We start from the raw sequence: 14,559 nt of genomic DNA, 5'->3' as shown, positions 1-14,559 counted from the left end.
GAAATCCACACTGCCTGACTGTCATGTCCATTATTTGTTTACTACCATTGGGCTTCAAATTCCCCCCAGCTTCTGCTGGAGTCCAGAGGCTTGGAAGCTCGCAGCAGCTGATTTCTGGTGCAATGCTGCACCTTGCCAAGTTACGGCTGCTTCATAGAGCAATCACACTGACATCTAGTGGTCTAAAGAGTAAGTGCAGGCGGTGGCTTTGAAGCTTTTACCAGCCTCAATGTGCTTTAAAAACCACATTTTCCACCATTTACACAATACGTTAACAAGAGAGAGAGATCAGGGATGTAGAAATGATATTTCATTTGTCTGAGGTGTTACTAGAGGCTGCTCTACAGGAACATTTCTAAAAACAAGAAAGTGAAGAGAGTGAACCGTGGCTCGCTGGCGGGTTTGGGCTGTGGTTCCAGGGGTTGCGGTTAAGACTGTGACTCCAGAATCAAGATCCTGAGCTTGAAGGTGGTCTCTGCCACGCACCAGCTGTGGGCCTTGGGTGAGTTCCTAAATGGTTCCATGACTCAGTTTCTTTATCTGTCAAATGGGGATAACAGTAACGTCTCCATTGACCTGTTTTGAGGTGATCCCTGAAAAGCTCCTAGCACAGCACCTGGCCCAGAAGGCAATCGGGGTTGCCCTCTGTTCTTGTTGTGACTGTTTTTTAAGAGCAAGCTGCTGCAGAAGCTGGCACCCCACAGGTCAGACAGCATAGCGCAGTGGAAAGCTCAGAGGATGAGCAAGGGAGAGACCCAGATTTTAGCCCAACTGTGTGAACCTGGACAGATCCCTTACGCAGTTTCTTTTTTGTAAAATGAAGGACCTTGGTTCGCTAATGTTTAAGGATTTTTTCCTTTCTCAAACGTTGTGTTCTAAACCTTGTACAGGCTTCTAATTGAAATTGTTCTACCTTTAAGGCCCATTTGTCTCCTTTCTTTTTACCAAAGCCCAGGGCCAAGCATGTCCCAGGTGTTTATTATATAGTTGCTGACTGATAAGAAGTGATTGTTGGAATGCTCTCTATTGGTCACTAGGAATAAACCAAGAATGTCTTTGGGCAGGAATGAAAATCCAGTGGGAAGCTCTGGAAGTCAAGGAATATTTCCCCATCAGAAGCTGGTCTGGGGTTTCTCTGATAAATTTGGAAAGCTCAGTGGTTGTCTTGTTTTTCTACCTCTGCTAATCAGCCTCTCTAAACAGATAAGAAACCAGGAAAATCATTTAGCTATATAAATTCAATACATAACCTTGTTAATCACGTTGCTGCAGCCTGCGCCTTGTGAGTTGGTCAGAGCAGTGGATGACTTTGCTTCTAAGTGCAGGTGAAATGCCACCAAATTCACATGCTGCCTGTGACCAATGCCTAACTCAGTCTTTCCAAGCCAGGGATAATCCCAGCTGGGATGTCACCTCTAATATGGCAACAAATGGTGGTGCAGCAAAAAATAATCATGAAACAGTCTTTCTTCCCTTCTTCCTAAACTTCATCCACATAGACTGTTGGATATTTATAGAAATCCAGCACAAACACAGGGAGGGGAACGACACACACTGGGGCCTGTTGCAGGGCAGGGGGAGAGAGAGCATCATGATAAATAGCTAATGCATGTGGGGCCTGATACCTAGGTGATGGGTTGAGAGGTGCAGTAAGCCACCATGGCATGCATTTACCTGTGTAACAAACCTGCACATCCCGCACATGTATCCCAGAAAGAACTTAAAATAAAATTTAAAAACAAATAAACAAAAGAGTGAACAAAGGAGGGAGCTGCGGGTAGAATTTTAACAACATGCATACCACTATTTTTATATTAGAGATTTCTAATATATGCTAATATAAATATATGCAATATTAAAAATCGTATTATACACACACACGAAAAAAGTTTAATTTGGGAGTTTTGTAAGGGCGTGTATTATTTTCCTGTGGTTTCTGTAACAAAGTACCACAAACTAGGCAGCTTACAACAACAGAAATCTATTCTCCCTCAGTTTTGGAGGCCAGAAGTCTAAACTCAAGGTGTCAGTAGAACCATGTTCCCTCTGGAGGCTCTAGGGGAGGATTCGTTTCTGGCCTCTTCCAGCTTCTGGTGGTTCCAGGGATTCCATGGCTTGTGGTTGCATCACTAAAACCTCTACCTCTCTTGTAAAATGGCCCTCTCCTCTTCTGCTGTCTCTTCTTCTCTATCTTATAAGGACACTTGTCATTGGATGTAGTGCTACCTACATAACCCAGAATGATTCCGTTGCATGATCCTTAATTACACCTGCAAAGACCTTTTTTCCAAATAAGGTCACATTCACAGGTTCTGATACATGGGCGTATCTTTTTGGCATATACATGGGCATAATTTATAGACAAGCAACCAACATCTGCATTCCAATCCCATTCACTCGTGCTAAATCAGGGTACCTCCACCAAAAGGTGCCCCAATCCTTGCCACTGAATTTCTGCCACTCTTTTGGTAGTAATTGATCAAGAAAAATGTGAGGATAAGACAGATCCAGGATTCCACTGGTTTTTAATAATGTTTGCTTCTGAATACACCACAGGATGCCACACCCTCCCCCTTGCACCCCTGGCTGGCTGGGCTGGTGAGTCTCCCCAAAGATCCCTGAGAGGAGCACAGCAGGGTGGGTTGGACCACACAGCAAGTGCTGCTTTAAAAAAACTTCCCCCAGGGTGATCCTACCACACAATGTGCTTCTCATCATTTCCCCATCGTCATCGCAATGAAAACCACTCAAAATATTTTTATTTACCCTATCAGTCAAAAAAAAAGTAGTCAGTGAGAGTTGTGTTTATATTTCTCAAATGGATTTTTTATTATTTTATTCATATTAGATGTTTGACATTGATCCACTGTTACATTTAATTTAAATTTATAATTCTTCAAACACCTTTTTTAACATTCTTATTGAATTTTTAATTATGGTAAAATATACATAATATAAAATGTGCCATTTTAACCATTTTTAAGGGTAAAATGTGGCATTACATACATTCGCATTGTTGCGCAAACATTGCCACTATTGATTTCAGGAACGTTTTCTTCTTTCCCAACTGTAACTCTATATCCATTAAACATTAATTGCCTGTTCCCTCCTCCCTCCAGCCCCTGGCAACCACCATTCTACTTTCTGCCTTTATGAATTTGACTACTCTAGGTACATCATATAAGTGAAATCACACAATATTTTTTTTTTGACACAGAATCTCGCTCTGTTGCCCAGACTGGAGTGCAGTGGTGCGATCTTGGCTCACTGCAACCTCCGCCTCCCAGGTTCAGGTGATTATCCTGCCTCAGCCTCCCAAGTAACCTGGGATTACAGGCTTGCACCATCATGCCTGGCTAATTTTTGTATTTTTAGTAGAGATGGGTTTTCACCATGTTGGCCAGGCTGGTCCCAAACTCCTGACCTCAAGTGATCTGCCTGCCTTGGCATCCCAAAATGCTGGGATTACAGGCATGAGCCACAGCACCCAGCCAATACTTGTTGTTTCGTGACTGGCTTATTTCACTTGGCGTAATGTCTTCAAGGTTTCTCCTTGAATGTCAGAATTTCCTTCCTTTTTAAGACTGAATAACATTCCATTGTATTATAAACCTCATTTTGTTTATCCCTCTATCTGTCAACAGACACTTGGTTTGCTTCCACCTTTTGGTATTGTAAATTATGCTACTATAAACATGGGATCTACCCATATCTGCTCAAGTCCCTGCTTTCAGTTCTTTTGGGTATACACCAGAAGTGGAATTGTTGGATCATTTGGTCATTCTATGCTTAATTTTTTGAATAACCACCATACTGTTTTCTATAGCAGCTGTACCATTTTATGTTCCCACCAGCAGTGCACAAGCATTCAATTTCCCCAAATCCTGTCCAACACTCGTTATTTTCTGCTTTTTTTAAATTATAGCCATTCAAATGGATGTGAAGTAGTATCTCATTTTGGTTTACATTTTTAACTAAAAGAAAATTCTGTCTAGAAATAATAGATGACTCTCTCTGTGGTACTTTCTTTTGAAAACCATTTAGTATGTAGAAAAGCATAACACAGGAAAGGGTTTTGGTGTGTTTCATTTTTTGTTGTTCTTTGAACTAACGAAAGATGTTAACACTTTTTTCACTTTTTCATTCAGACGAAGTTGTTATATATAAATGCATTGTTATCAATCTGATTTTTGCCATGGGACTTCCCAAATTATAACTTCTTTCTCCCGTAGTATCTGTTTATGCCCCTCTTCAACCACCCCTGGTAATAAGTTTGAGGCTGCAGCCAAATGAACGATAATCACCATCTCAGGCAGACAATGAATGAACCAGAATGGTGTCCTGGGCCCCTAAACTACCAGTTAGATGGTTCATGTAACCAACTCTAAGGGGCAGCTGTTTGGAGCCAGGGTTGGGCTAAAAAAGCCCTAATATAGTCATCTACCTAAACACCTCACCCCCACACCAACACACACACAGAGACTAAATGTTTTTTCAAACAAACGGAATTGTTTGTCTTCTCTTAGTTGTTTCCCCTTTCAGATTGCCCACGATGTTGCAAAGTCAATCAGGATGTTTTGGCCTTGAGCCCTATAAACCCCATGCCTTGCTCTGTTTCCTTGCTCATCTCAGATCTGCCAGGATCACAACCATAAGTAGGACAAATGTTATCACATCCCTTGCAATGACAAGGGATTCTTGGACAGGAGGTCAATTTCTAGAGTTAGGTGGAAAACATTTTGGATTAGAATAAGAAACTGCTAAAAAGTTTTGTGTGTGAGCTGAGAACTTAAACTAGTAACTATATGACAAAGACAATGAAAACTCTGGTTCCTATGGCATATAGGGTGAGCACAGAATTTAGAATCAGAACCTGGGTTTGGTTCTCATCCTACCACTTGCTAAAGCTTAGGTGACTCAGTTTAAGGTTATATATTAATAACACTAAAAACTAATTGGGCTTTGGGAGGATCAAATGAGATATTATATGTGAAATGTTATTTTAAAATGTGATTATTAGTTTAATAATGAAATTAGGAATGGGTATAAACTACTAAACTCTAGAATTTCTTGATAATTATATGAGTATATGTAGAGTTGGGTTTTTTTTTTTTTTGGCAGGGGGCGTGTAAAGGTGATTTGTTCGCCAAGAAAAGCACTTTTAGTAAAGCACAGATGTTAATCTAGATCATGGAAAAGTGCCACACACTAGATTTAGCACATAAGCAAGGAGTCTCTAGAACACTCAGAAGAAAATGAATGAATCCATGAATGAATGGACAAGTGAGAGCCCAGAGCAGCTGAAGCCATGAAGTGCTTTGGAAAGAGAAGCGTGCCTGGGAAAAGAGAGTGGCTGAGTGCTAAGAGCAGGGTGAACACCATGGAAAACTTGAAATTGAAAACATCACAATTTTAATGAGAAAAAGCGCAACCCAAAGTGAAGAGCACCATTATAACAAAGGTGAGAAAAGATGCTCATCTTATGACAGAGTCTTGTTTCTGTGCAGTTATCAGAAAAAGTGAGCTAAGAGGTGTGATGTGCTTATATTGTTTAATCCTGATTACTAAATACCAAATGCGTTTTCTTCAAAGCTCTAAAGGAGAAGAAATGGAATGGGAACAAGGGGGAGGGTTGAGGGCAGGGAGGATATCCCACATTGTCATATTCCTTAGAGTAAGGTTTCAAAATATTATCTATTTCTCTTTGTGGAATCTTCCATAGCTTTCCATTTCTAATGTATAGCTTTCACTTTCCTCAAATCGAACTCTGGATCTCTCATTGACTAGAAGCTGCCACATGCCTTTTTTTATTTTTTATTTTTTATTTTTTTGAGACAAGGTCTTGCTCTGTCACCCAGGCTAGAGTACAGTGGTGCATTCATGGCTCACTGCAGCCTTGACCTCCCGGGCTCAAGCAATCATCCCACCCCAGCCTCCAGAGTAGCTAGGACTACAGGCACTCACCACTGTGCCTGGCTAATATTGCATATTCTTTTGTAGAAATGAGGTCTTGCTTTGTTGCCCAGGCTAGCCTCAATCACCTGGCCTCAAGCAATCCTCCTGCCTCAGCTTCTCCAATTGCTGGGATTACAGGCCTGAGCCACCCATTGTGCCCAGCTGCTGCCACCTGTCTTGGTTAGCTCGTTGAGTTCTTCCTCTTCTTAGCAGTTTTCACACAGATCTTTTCACATGCTGGGAAGGAAGTCTCTAGAAAACCCCACAGATAGCCTCATTCCTCCACCCCCACTTCACTCCATGTAGACAATAAGCTTTCAGTTTCTAACATCATGTTGAGTGTAGAAAAGAAATTTACCACCCAGGAGCGTGTGTCTGTGTCTGTCTATGTTTTCGTGTTTGTTGGGAGTGACACGAAGGCTGAGGGAAAAAATAAAGCATAACATTTCTATTTTTCGCTTGACAAACAGTATCTTTCCCAGACATCAAAGATTTTTATTTCAGACTTCAAATGTCCTTAGCAAAATAAAGTTTTTGTTGGGGTGTACATGAAAATAGAACAACCATAAGAAATAGGCCGGGCGCAGTGGCTCACGCTTATAATCCCAGCACTTTGGGAGGCCGAGGCAGGCGGATCAAGAGGTCAGGAGATCTAAACCACGGTGAAACCCTGTCTCTGCTAAAAATACAAAAAATTAGCCAGGCGTGGTGGCGGGCGCCTGTAGTTCCAGCTACTCGGAGAGGCTGAGGCAGGAGAATGGCGTGAACCTGGGAGGCGGAGCTTGCAGTGGGCCGAGATCGCGCCACTGCACTGCAGCCTGGGCGACAGAGCGAGACTCCGTCTCAAAAAAAAAAAAAAAAGAAAAGAAAAGAAAAAGAAATAGTAGCTGAAATTTAGGTCTCTCTTTGAGGTTGGAGGAACAGAAAAAATGAAAGAACTTATATTGTATTATGAAGTGTACATCAACTATTAGCCTAAGAACCAAATAAGCCACTAATAAGATATCTATGAAAACATTTTTCAATTATCTACAAGTTCGTTAGTCAAAATGTAAATTCCTGAAAAACTGTTTTCTAATTTGGTATTTTCAGGTCATGCAGGCTGAGTGAATTATCCTAAACAAATGTAAGTTAAATTTGCTATAAAAAATTGTAAAATAGAATAAGAAAAATAAGTGGTTTTAGGACCATTTGTTGTTCTGTACTATCTACATCTCACTCTATATTCTCTACATCCTATCGCCATTCTATCCACATCAAGAACTCAAAAACATATAGCAAAACAAACCTCAGAAACACATAGAAACTCATATATATTTATATGTATGTATTTATACTAGAGACAGGCTCTCGCCACGTTGCTTAGGATGAACTCAAACCCTTGGGCTCAAGCGGTCTTCCCACATCAGCCTCCTGAGTAGCTAGGACCACAGGAATGCACTATCATGCCTGGCTAGAAAGTCGTATTTAACTTCCTTATCCATTTATGCTTAAGCCCTCAGAGGCCATGGCAAAGTCAAAACTATTTGTACAGGAGCTATTTTGTAGGATAACCAGGAAAAGAACATTGAAGGTTCGAATTTGTAGAATGATGATGATTGTCCCGCTCCTGATTCTAAAAACAGGGGGTACACAAAAATCCAACTGATGCACATGCCTTATAGAGAATACAAGGCGCCAGCATTTGGGAGGTGGACCATCACCATCAAAGCTTTACTACTTGCTAGGCTATCTTGCTTCTTCTGCTCTAATTCACTCTGGAAGAGAGAACACAGTAGAAACAGGAGAAGGATCCGGATCATCAGTGCTCGGAATAACACCAGACCAGGAGATAATGCACAGCGATATCTGTGGTGGTTTTTCTGCCAAGGTCCGAGGGGACCTGGCGGGGCACACACACCACCCAGAAAGTCCCCATTTAAGTCAGGTGTTTCCTTCCACATGACACCTCACAATGCAAGGCCATAGCAGACAGGGCATCGCTGGGGTTGTTGCAGTTCCACCTCCACCTTCACAAGTTACTGAAAAACATACAGGGGTTGTCACAATCAGGGCTACCACCGCTGCTTCCGCCACCAGGTCCTCCTACCCATGCCTTCGCCCAGAGCCTGCAGCAAAGGGCTCCCGCCCCAAGAACTTAATTTGCGGCGAGAGTCAAGTTCCCACATCCTGTTGAAGAGGGGCCTGGTGCTCTCTCCAGCCTCCGAGGCTCAGCCCACTGGAATGCATCACAGCCCATTTGCAATGAAATAGATATTCAATTGGCAAGTGCTTAAATCACAACTGCAGGTCAACAAAGGAGCTAAGAAAATCATCTCCTCCACTCCCATCTGTATGACCAATCAAGGTGAAATTTAAGTAAACGCAGTCCATCAGCCAGTACGTTCAATGCATATTATGGAAAGAGATGCGCCAGGATCAGGGATGTGTCTGCTTGTTTGCCGGGGAGGGAATTGCTGTTGAGGAGGAAAAATAAAACCAGGTTCCTGCTTTTACATCTCCTTAGGGAAACAGAGAACACACATGTAAATTATAATTCATTAAGAATCTAAATAGGCCGGGTGCGGTGGCTCACGCCTGTAATCCCAGCACTTTGGGAGGCTGAGGCAGGTGGTGGATCACCTGTGGTCAGGAGTTCAAGACCAGCCTGGCCAACATGGTGAGACCCCATCTCTATTAAAAATACAAAAATTAGCCAGGCGTGGTGGTGCATGCCTGTAGTCCCACCTGCTCGGAGGCTGAGGCACGAGAATCGCTTGAACCCAGGAGGCAGAGATTGCAGTGAGCCAAGATCGCGCTACTGCACTCCAGCCTGGGTGATAGAGGGAGGCTCCGTCTCAAAAAAAAAAAAAAACATATTTAAACAGTGTTAATCGGGATAAAAAAGATCACTGCTGTTCTATTATCGATAGAGGAGCTTGTTATCTACGATGCTTGTGAAGGGTCTCGTCAGGAGTACTGTATTTTCAGCCAGCAACCGTTAACTCTTAAGTCGGAGTAGTTTTGAGGTAATTTCTAATAGTAAAGAGTTTTATGAAAGTTTATTTTCAGATTAAGACCATTCCCTTTTCCAGGTTTACTGGGTACAACAGATCAAGTCTCTTTAAAGAGAAAACACTGTGTGTGTGTGTGTGTGCGCATTGTGTGTGTGTTGTGTGTGATGAGAAGGGATGGAGGGCTTGGTCATGGGGGTCATATGTGTTATTTTCTTTAATCTAGGCGATGCAAACCAGTAATGCAGAATCCTATTGCTCTATAAAAATTTGAATTGCTTGAATCTATTACAAATTTTTGCCAGTGTGCTTCCTGCCTCAAGGATGGTAAGTTTCTCCAGCTTAGGGGAGAACATTCTGTCTCCTCAGTCTTTTTGTTACACCTCCTGGTCAGGCCTTTGTAGAGCAGGTCCTAAGTTTGAGTAACAAAAGGCATCACCCCCACAGAACCTGGGTCTCCTAACCAGCACACCGTCTTCACCCGCCCTGGCTGCAATCTCCGAAGCCTTAGGCAGGACGAGGGCTGGCTTTCTGGAACCGTTTCTCTTGTACTCATGATCGCCCTCACAGCCTCTTGTTGTCCTCTGATGTCACTGTACTGGGGTCCTATCATGGGTAATGATGGCAGTGGCAGAAACAAATTTTGTTCCATAAGAAGAACCAGCAGTTGAGACCGAATAAGTAAGTCATGGGTAACAAACGACTTTATCTCAACATAACTAACAATAAAGAAACTCCACGTATGGTAAAAAATTATCAAAGATTTTTTGAAAAACCGATTTGGGTAAACTATTTTATTCATTTACTGCCTCCACCATGATTAGAAGCATTACATGCAATCAAATGAAGTCATTTTATTCCCTTTTTTATGGGCTTTATATAGGGAAGAGTAACAGCAGCCACAGCAGAGATTCATTCTCCTCTTGCTTTAATTGCAAAAGTGACACAAACATATCTTAAGGAGGTAAAACCTGGCTTCCAAGTCATTTTAAATTCATTAGTTTCCCATGATTTATGGAAGTTTTGTTTCTTTTGTATTTTAAAGAACGTTCTAAAGATGAGACTTTCAAAGGTGGGCAACTTTAAAAACCATTGCTAGTAGTGGCTCATTTAGTTTCTATACAGTTATTTGTAGGTGTTAGAGTGTAGTCTATGGTAAAAAAAAATTAAAAGCAGACTTCCTGGTAAGTTAATTTCAGTAATTCAAGAGCAATAGAATTAGCTCAGGGTTTCTCAATCTTGGCACTATCCACATTTTGGACTGATAATTCTTTCTTGTGGGAGGCTCTCGTATAGGACAGATGTGCAGCATCCCTGGCCTCTACCCAACCCCTTCCCTGGCTGGTCATTTTCGTCAAAAATGCTTCCAGACATTGATAAACATCCCCAGGGGGGAAATTCCCCGGCCCACCCCCACACCCCAGTTAAGAACCAGTAGATTAGCATAATATCCAAGAAATATTTAAAACCATGAGTAATATAACAATAAAACTAAAACAAAACAAAATCCTGTTCCTAATAATAGAGATAATATATTTTTAGTTTTCCAAATGAAACTATGTAGATGAACTGACTACAAAAGGGACGATTTTCTTTCTAGGAACAGAAAAGATGGGATGTCTGTCCTTCATGCCATCTCAGCCTTTAACTGTTTACTTGGTTCATTACTTTTATGCAGATTGCTAAAACTCAAAAAGATTTTCTGAAAACTGGGTTTGTTAACTGTCAATCTGGAGGTTGTAACGAAAGCATTTTTGTTAACAGACATTTTCCCAAGGTCTGTGGCAAATGTAAAAGTTTATACCACTGAAGAGACATAATTCTGAGGAAAGGCAAAATATATGGGGGCTAAAGGAAATTAATTTCTATGAAGAGATTTTCTACTATTAAATCTGTGTTTGTGAGCAATGTTTGTGAGTAATCTGGACTAAGCATTATATGGATACATAGCAGGTAGAAATAATAACAAATTGCTTCAAATGGCTTTGGAAAAGAAATTGCAAATGAATTTGAATTTGCAAATTCAAATTGCAAATTGCAAATTGAATTTCACAATCTGATGTCTTCCAGATTGTGAAATACATCCTCTGATGAATAAGTAGAAGCCCAATCTTGATATCAGTAAGTTAAAAAGGTTCTGCAAATAACACGCACCAATATGATCCAACTAGCAAGGGAAAAAAGTAGGGTTAATATTGAAAATATCTAACAACTGGAATTGACATAGGTACCAAACAATCCCAAGGGTTGCTGATCATATATCCACCTGTACTGGTGTATATCTACCAAATATCAGCCCTAGAAAAAGGCAAGGTGCAGAGTAGAGGTTTCCATCTGTGTGAAAAGTGGGAGAAGGAAGGGTGTTTGTTTGTGAATATGTGTGTGTTTATGTTTGCATATGCACCGGTTAGCAACATACATAGGAAACTGGTGACAGTGATTGCCTCTAGAGAGAACTAGGGAAGGTCACCATGTAGTTTATTATTTGAGGAAGATCAGTTTGAGATTAAAACGGAACATTGCTAATCATTATTCCAGAACAACAGGTATAAACTCATACTGTACTGGTAAATGAGGACATCAGCGTAGCCTAGAACTGGGGAACTAAGTTAAGGAGTTATAGAAGGCTTACTTTCCACTCTATCACTCAAGAATATATTACCCCTACCCTTTTTTAAGTAAAAATAAAAGTACTAGATAATTGAATAGATATTCAATCTACAATGAAATCAGAATGAGAGAATGTCCATTTTAAAAATCATTTTTGCTTTTTCTATCATTACGCTTAAAGAAAAAAACTACCTATTATTGTTACGATTAAGGGTGAGTCTGGGTGTTGAACATTTTATCTACTAAACTTATTAACAGTCATCATGATTAAACAATCTCTAAAGCTAAGAAGCCAATATTAGTGATTACATAGTTGCAGAGTTCAGGCTACTGATTTGCCAGACATATTAGTGGCTAAGGGGCTCTAAGATGTCCTGCATAGGAACATGTTGCTCTTTCTTTCCCTGTCTTTCAACATCCAGTGAAAAGTCTCACAGTGTAGGTAAACCAAACTTAAATATCATAACTCTATTATGTTATTCAGGAGTACATTAGTTCTAGCTACTTTGATTTAAAATTCGGACATAACATTAATGATTGTAACTTCGGAATTTGGTCACATAGAGAAATAATGTTTTGTGACTAGCAAATTAGAAAAACAGAGATGGCAGATAATTATTACATATATATTACGTGCAATTCTTATCTAAGAATTTTACATGCCTTTGCCCATTTAATCCTTATTTTAAAACAAAAACCCTGTGAGCTATAGGTACTGTTATTATTCTCATTTTAAAGATGTAGAAAACTGAGCCTCAGAGAGGATAACTACCATGCTAGATCACGTGGTTAGTAAAATGGCAAAGTCAAGGTTTGAACTCAAGTCATAACCCCAGAGCCTGTGCTATTAACTTTGACATTGCACTGCTTCCTGGGTCTGGGTTGGCAGCTGAGAGACTTACGTTCCAATCCAAATCTACCACTTCCATATTTTCTAAACCAAAGCCAGGACATTGAGTTTGATCATGGGCTAGGGTATTTCATGGGTTTTCCTCCATGAAATCCAAGACATAAAGTTGCCACCTAAGTAGGATACCACTTAAAACTCTTGCTTTCCATTTCCTCACCGATGCAGCGAGAGAAGGGACTACAGAATGACTAACATTTCACTTGATTTATAAAAATCAGAAATCCTCCAATGTGTCAGGTACTCTTTAAAGTGTTTTACACACAGCAAGTTGTTTAATTTTCCTAACAGTCCTATGGCTACACATTATTATTCCCATTAGGGAGGTGAGAAAACTAAGCCTAAAGAATTTTGATGCCTTTTGTCCAAGGTTACATAGCGAGTAAGATTCAAACCCAGGCCACCTGGTTCCTAAGTCTGTGCTTAGTCACTCAGCTATGTAGCCTCCTGTTATAAATCTGGGATATACATTATATGATATGGAATTAAGTCTAGAATAAAAGGCATCTTCCACAGAGACAGACTTCCTTCAGTTAGGGGGCAAATTTTTGTTCTTGGTACTGCCATAATTATGCCCCTTGTAGTGACGTTTGGGGTCCTCTGCAACTCTGATCTCTCTGAAGGTTCAGGGAAGAACCCATTCTCTCCTATTCCCTCCCCCAAGCACCCAAATTCTCCCTTGTTCTGCTGTCTTCCTGCCTCTTGCCTTCAGGAATTGCTTGAGGATTTGAGGAAGTCAGGGGTGGTAGAAAAGTGGCAAAGGGAGGAAAGGTAGAAAACAAGCAGTTTCCAACAACTCAGATAAGGGAGGTAAATTAAAGTTACAAAATTCAAGTTGGAATTTGCTGCTCTGTGTTAGCTTTTCTGTTCCTGCCTAAATCCCTAGCCTCCTACCCTGCTACAGTTTGGTATGGACAGAAACTCTTGCTGAGGGCACCATTTCTTGTAAAATCACTATGCACAGTATTAATCTCAGTGCCTGCCCTCATTCTCCAAGCATATATTAGAATCCTGAGGGAGCCAGGCCCTGGTCTAGGTGATGCAGGGATACAAAAAGAAATGAGACATTTTCTGGACTTCAGAGCCCCAGATACACCTGAGTTTGCCTGCCTGTGCTCACAGTTCCTACAACTGTTAGGTAGCATGTTCAAGGCCTGGAGTTGCTACATAACAGTTCTAATAATAATTTCCATATATTGAACCCATATTGTACACCAGACAGGCATTTTACAAATTCCATGTTTAAAGCACATGACAATTCTGGCTAGGATTTAAACCCAGTTCTCATGTCTGGCCATGCCATCCTCCTGCAGTTCCAGCCTCATTTTCCTTTCTTGTGAAATGGGGTTAAATAATGTCATTCTTTTAGAACTACTGTAAGAATGAGACGGGATGATATAGAACAAAGCACATGTATTTACCCCCCACTAAATGGTAGTTCTCATCACTCTAAGAGGAAATAGCATAGGGGCTTATAGAAGCACCTGAAGTGTGCATGAGTCAGGAGGTGGGAGCAACCTTTCCAGCTGGAGGGACCTGGTTTTGCACCTTGAAAGATGAAATGTGCCTGGGTATGGGGCAATGAAAGGTGGGGGATGAGAGGTAGGAAAGCATGTTATGGGTGAACTTTAAAGCATGAAAAGGGAAATTGTCATGGCCACATTGGTTAACTTCAGTGATTTTTTTGAAGCCTCCAATTTTGAAATATTTCTAAAAGAACTAAAAATTTAAACTCCTTGCTTTTGAGACAAAGAGCAAACACACCATTAACTTTCCCAGGTAAAATGGGATTACATTCACAGAGAAAAATGAATGCCTATTATCTTTGCTAAGTAATACCTAAATTCTAGACAAGCAGGGGAGACTCAGTAAAAGCACCTCTGAGAAAAAGGGATGACTGTGGAAAGAAAGGTCTGGAAATAAGACTGACAGCCTGTCCCTATTACCTCTTCCTTATCTTCCCCCTTGTGCCTCCAGACCATAACCTCTAAACAGAACAATTCTGAAAGTGAGTACAATCGCCTGCTAGTATGGATACAGGTGAATCTTTAGTGCTAAATAATTACAAATAAGGAGAAGAAGTCATTTTATTAC

General features: G+C 40.8%; 1 protein-coding gene across 16 annotated transcripts in view; it reads left to right on the top strand.

Annotated features, from left to right (window-relative positions):
- Positions 1–14,559, top strand: part of FYB1 (FYN binding protein 1) — a 169,277-nt gene that overhangs the window by 56,390 nt on the left and 98,328 nt on the right. Inside the window, exons 2-3 of one of the 16 annotated variants that reach the window (XM_047417071.1) lie at positions 7,048–7,081; positions 9,175–9,275. The exons of 10 other annotated variants lie outside the window; for them this stretch is intronic. In XM_047417071.1, coding sequence (XP_047273027.1) covers positions 9,273–9,275 — 3 coding nt within the window. In that variant the 5' untranslated portion in view covers positions 7,048–7,081; positions 9,175–9,272. Of the gene's footprint in view, positions 1–5,121; positions 5,462–7,047; positions 7,082–9,174; positions 9,276–14,559 lie in introns of all 16 variants that reach the window. 5 more of the 16 variants (XM_011514008.3, XM_011514009.1, XM_047417074.1 and 2 more) reach the window with 5 other exon arrangements.

The sequence above is a fragment of the Homo sapiens genome, chromosome 5, assembly GCF_000001405.40.
Source record: "Homo sapiens chromosome 5, GRCh38.p14 Primary Assembly".
Classification (NCBI taxonomy): Eukaryota; Metazoa; Chordata; class Mammalia; order Primates; family Hominidae; genus Homo; species Homo sapiens.
This window is presented reverse-complemented; position numbering and strand designations above follow the sequence as displayed.